Below are 6,000 nucleotides of genomic sequence, written 5' to 3'. Positions count from 1 at the left end.
ATTTATTATCTCTCAGTTCTGGAGGTCAGAAGTCTAAAATGGGTTTCATTCTATTAAAATCATGTTGTCAACAGGGCTGTGCTCCCTCTGGATGGCTTAGGGAAGAGTCCATGCCTGGCATTTTTCCAGCCTCTGGTGGTTGCTGGCATTTCTGATCTTGCAGCTATTTCACTCCAATCTGCCTCCTTCTCCACATGCCCTTCCCTTCTATTTGTCTGTCAAGTTTCCCTCTGCCTCACTCTTTTTTTGTTTGCTTCTGAGACGGAGTCTTTCTCTGTAGCCAAGGCTGGAATGCAGTGATGCGATCTCAGCTCACTGCAACCTGCGTCTCCCAGGTCCCAGTTCAAGCAATTCTATTGCCTCAGCCTCCTGAATAGCTGGAATAAGAGGTGCACACCACCCTGCCCAACTAAAATTTTTTTTTTTTTGAGCCGGAGTATCACTCTGTCACCTAGGCTGGAGTGCAGTGGCACAATCTCGGCTCACTGCAAGCTCCGCCTCCCGGGTTCACGCCATTCTCCTGCCTCAGCCTCCTGAGTAGCTGGTATTACAGGCACCCGCCACCACGCCTGGCTATTTTTTTCTATTTTTAGTAGAGACCGGGTTTCACCATGTTGACCAGGTTGGTCTTGAACTCCTGACCTCATGATCTGTCCTTCTCAGCCTCCGAGAGTGCTGGGATTACAGATGTGAGCCACTGCACTCAGCCCCCTCTGCCTCATTCTTATAAGAACACTTGTCATTGGATTTAAGGCCCTTCTGGGTAACCTAAGATAGACTCTTTTGACTTGACTTTGTCGCTGAGGCTGGAGGGCAGTGACATGATCACCACTCACTGCCACCTCCACCTCCCAGGCTCAAGGAATCCCCCCACCTCAGCCTCCCGAGTAGCTGGGACCACAGGCACATGCCACCATGCCCGACTAATTTTTGTATTTTTTGTAGAGATGGGGTTTCACCATGTTGCCCAGGCTGGTCCCAAACTCCTGGGCTCAAGCCATGTGCCTGCCTCGGCCTCCCAAAGTGCTGGAATTACAGGCCTGAGCCACTGTGCTTAGCCTCAAAATTCATAACTTATCATATAATTTGTCATGTAAGGAAGCATTCACAGGTTTCATGGATTAGAACATGGACATATCTTTTTAGGGGTCACCATTCAGCCCACTACAGTTGGTAATTCGATAAGATGTTTAAATATATAAAGTTTTATTAAGAAGGTAAGCCTCATGTTAAGCATTCTTACCATAATAAAGAAGGAGAAGAAGAAGAAGGAGGGGAGGAGGGGAGACTAAGATAGTCATAAGGAGACCCAGCACACGTGCACAGAAGAGACACCACGTGAGAACATGTGAGAAGGTGGTGACCTGAGAGCAAAGGAGCGAGGCCTCAGGAGAAACCAAACAGCCAACACTTTCATCCTGGACTTCCAGCCTCCAGAACTGCTAGAGAATACATTTCTGTTGTTTGAGGTACTCATCAATCAATCAATCAATAAGATTTTTAAAATTTTGCCACTACCTCTGTCTTACCACTTTAAAAAATGATACATATTTTGTCACATAGGGCAGCATTAACAGGTTTGGAATATAAAGGGCAATTTTTCACTGATGTTCCTGGACGTCCCCACCATGTTAGTAGTAAGATCTCCATCAGTGGGGCCTACACAAATCATGTCCAGTGTCAGACATGTCAGGTGCCCCGTGGACAGCTGTGCATTCCCCAAAGACCTCGATGTGACACCTGCTGTCCTGTCAAATCCCTGTCATCCCATGGGTGTGTTCTGCCTTTTTTTTGTTGGGGCTTGGAAGAAATGTGAAGTATTCTTCCTCCTCTATCCCAACAACTTTTCCACATTTTGTGTTTTGAGTTCTAAATGCCTTCTTTCAAGAGAATAACAAATCTCATGTCGGCGAGCTGGAAGTAGTTGCTAGGCACTGGAGCTGTGGCCCCCATCCAGAATATTGTTTTTTTAAAAATGGATTGGCTGTGAAAAGTGGAGGTGATTTAATCCAGAGAGAAGAGGGGCTTGGGAAAGTTTCCCACGACCTGATGAGACAGGAGGTGCTCAGGTGTAAGTGTGAGCATGTGTCTAAGTGTGAATTCATGGGTACATTTCACCAGCATGCAGCAAAAGATGATGTTCCTGGGACTGGCCTCATGGGCAAAGAATCTGTGAAGTTATTAAAGCTACAGGTTTCTAGGCTTTCACCCAAACATATTAAATCTGAGTCTTTGAGAGTAGGTTCCAGGACTCTGGCTGGTTAACAATTTCATAAGATATCAGAGCAAAATTTGACACATGCTGCCCTTGTGAACAATGGGATAAGAAGGATCAGGTCATGAGCTTGAAGGGTGTTTGTATTTGGAAGCCCAGGCTGTGGGGAACAGAACCAACCAATAATGCGAGAATCAGGTTCCTCTTTACCAGGCGCTTGTTATTTTCAAGGAAACAAATCTTTTCTTCTGTTTTAAGTAACTTGATGTATATTGAAAGTTGATCAAATATAGATAACAAGACTTAAATATTGAGAGAAGATTTCTGGCTCAGTGAAGCTAGTCTTCTGTATCATGAGAGTCCTAATCCTCCTGCACTCTTCTTTCTGTGCCCTCCCAGGACAGGTACTTCTTTTCACTGTTCTGCAGGCTTAGGCCACTGCACTTTGGGATCTGACTTTATACTGCCGGAAACAAAGGGTACTATTTACATACTTGGCCTTAATATTGTGAAAGAAAAATAAACCTTATGGCCCTAAAATCGCTAAGCTAAAGGGAAAAGTCAAGCTGGGAACTTCTTAGGGCCAACCTGCCTCTCATTCTATTCAGTCACCTCTCTGCTCACTGAGATAAATGCGTATCTGATTGCCTCCTTTGGAAAGGCTCATCAGAAACTCAAAAGAATGCAACGATTTGTCTCTCACCTACCTGTGACTTGGAAGCCCCCTCCCTGATTGTGTTGTCCCACCTTTCTGGATGGAACCAATGTACATCTTACATGTATTGATTGATGTCTCATGTCTCCCTAAAATGTATAAAACCAAGCTGTGCCCCGACCACCTTGGGAACATGTCGTCAGGACCTCCTAAGGCTGTGTCACGAATGCGTGTCCTCAACATTGACAAAACAAACTTTGTAAATTAACTGAGACCTGTCTTGGATATTCAGGTTCACAATATTATGATCATGGTATGCTGGGGGCCATAACACGTTTGCTTCATGCTAGGCTGGCTCAACTTTGACCTCCATTGACACCAGATTTCTTCTTCTTCCTTAAATGGTGGATGATCCATTGATCTGGGTTACAGAGCTTCTTCCTGGTGGAGACACAGATGTCATTGTACATTCTTAGTCATCAGATAAAGTGCTCATTATGCCATTCTGCTACTTACAAGCTGTGTACTGTAGGGCAATTTACCCAGTCCGTCCAAGCTTCCTTCCTGAAAAAGCGATTATATAATATCATGGTGAAGAGTGAAAGAATTAATGCATATAAAGTGTTTATTATAAAAGCTGGCAAATATAAGTGTTCAATAAATGTCAGGTATTATTTTCATTGTTGTCATTGTTATTCATTTGCCTGAGGTAGCCCAAGTGCAAGCAGCGAAGCTGAGCTCAATTGTTTTCTGTCTGATTCTAAAGTCTGAGTTCTTTATACTCACTCTACCAGAAGGGAGAGATGGGGCTGCCCCTTCCCTTCCAACTGAACTCGGATGATGGTGGATGTCTGTGTGTGACACAGTCAGCGTCAGGTGCATGGAGGGCTGTTTGGTGTGATAATAGATTCCTAACTCTACAATGTGGGAGGAGGCATTGCCTATAGTTGCTGTAGATTAGCAGGAATCTTACATGCCCAGCTTTAAATAACTACCACTGTGTTAGTCTTCCTTGTTTACTGTAGCCTAAGTTAGGTGTTTTATCCAGTAAAGAGCTGGTGGTTACCATTTAACTCATGCCGTCTATCTTCTTTACAGAAGAAAAGGAAAAAAGGTGGTACTATTAAAATGCTTCTAACCAAAATGTCTTCCAATTTGATGTTCCCTTAGGAAAAAATGGCCAAAATCTTTCCAGGAAACATGTAGTGAAAGAAAAAAATACATGATGTGTTTATTATACTCCAATCTTAGGGGAAATGTTGAAACCCATTCTAAATTGAGCAATGATTCTTCAATGTTTTACAGATGCTTCTGAGGGGGAAAATCTACAGAAATGTCTCTCAATAAACAATGAGGATAACTATTTTTAAAATTTTATATTAAGCAGCCTATTAATGTTTCATTGTAGCAATTTTTTCCAAGGCAATTGACTTCAAAATATCTCATGATGAAAAATGTCTTTTATTTTAGTAAATAATAAAAATTAATGTCTACCCAACTGATGACTAGTTCCAAAAATTATCAGAAGGGAAAAATAACCATAATAATTTCTCCCCTGCCAAAACCATTTGGAGGAAAAAGATAATGTGCTTAATGCTTCTAGCCTTTCAAATAGATGAAAGCTTATAACTTATTTCCTCCACCTACGAAGCGTGTCCTGTGAGACGTAGAAGGATCTGGACTGTGTACCTCTGCTATTCAACACTTTGCTCTTTGTTGCTGGACGAAGGAAGGACTGGGCACTCCTTGATATGGACATACCTTTATCCTATGAGGGAACATGGCCTTCCCTCTTTATCCTCCAGAAAACAATAGCTGGAAGTTTTGGTAGAAACTTTGTCAAAGCCTGCCAATCCAGGATGGATCAATAGAGATATGCCATGTAGATCCAGAACAGGCAGAGAGCAAAAGTCAATGAAGGAAAGTTCAACACTAATCTTGTTTCTTTGAGTTCCTAGACTAGCCTCAGACTTCAGCTGCTCTTGTGAGCCTGGAACTCACTCAAAGTGGTGGGACTTTCTTGGTGTTTTGTCCTCTCTCCACTCCCACCAAACTGTGCCTTTGCTCTGGGGCAAGCTGGAGGCAGGAGAAAGCCTGCAGACCTCCCTCAGCTTTCTATCAGCGCTGGATAATGTGTCCAAAAAGGTTTCTTGGTCTCCCTCATGGGCAGTTGACCTTGGCATCTTCCCTCTCTTACAAAGCAGTGAATCTTTTTCTGGGCTTTGGAAGCGGGAGTATTTTCTGTCCCTCTTGCAGTGGCTCATGACTTTTGCTGGTAAGAGAGAAGGTTCTGGGGAAGTAGGCAGGGGCTCTGTCATTTCCCCTAGCAGCAGCTTTGACAGCCCAGGGAGAAGCAAGAGGGCTCTATTTTTTAACAGCTTTATTAAACAAACTTCACATATGTAACATGTACAATTTGATATGTTTGACATACGTATACACCTGTGAAACTATCACCACAGTCAAGATAATGAGTGAACCCACCACCTTCCTGTTCCCTCATGATCTTTCTCTCACCCTTCCCTATATCCCTTCCCATGCAACCAATGATCTGCATCTGTCAATATAGATTAGTTTGCACTTTTAGAATTTTTGTATACATGGAATCATGCAATATTTACTCTTGTATGTATGTACGTGTAGGTTTTCTGGCTTCTTTTACTCAGTATAATTATTTTGAGATTTATTCATGTTGTGTGCATCAATATTTCATCCTTGTTTATTGTTTAGTAGTATATCACTCTATGGATATACCCCAATTTGTACACTCATTCTCCTCTTGGTGGAAATTTGGGTTGTTTCCAGTTTCGGGCTATTAAAAATAAAGCTGCTGTGAGCATATGCGTCTCAATTTAAATAACAGAGAGAAGTTCTCTGAAAAAGTAAATGGTGTTTATTTGTGACTAGAGCATTGCAATGGGAATACACATGTTATAGTAAATTATGTGTGTATTCAGGGAGGTAAAGAAAGACAGAGTTTTTTAAAGAAAAAAACTAGGAGGATTACATAATTGTTTTTGAAATAATTACCCTTAACTACAAGGATTAATAAGAAGGGTGACACTAGTCCCAGGTTAGACAGGCAGTTGCTGGGCAAATGTCTTTGCAGAAGTATTTTTTTTTCTTTTTG

This window comes from Homo sapiens, chromosome 2 (genome assembly GCF_000001405.40).
Source record: "Homo sapiens chromosome 2, GRCh38.p14 Primary Assembly".
In the NCBI taxonomy this organism is placed as follows: domain Eukaryota; kingdom Metazoa; phylum Chordata; class Mammalia; order Primates; family Hominidae; genus Homo; species Homo sapiens.
This window is presented reverse-complemented; position numbering follows the sequence as displayed.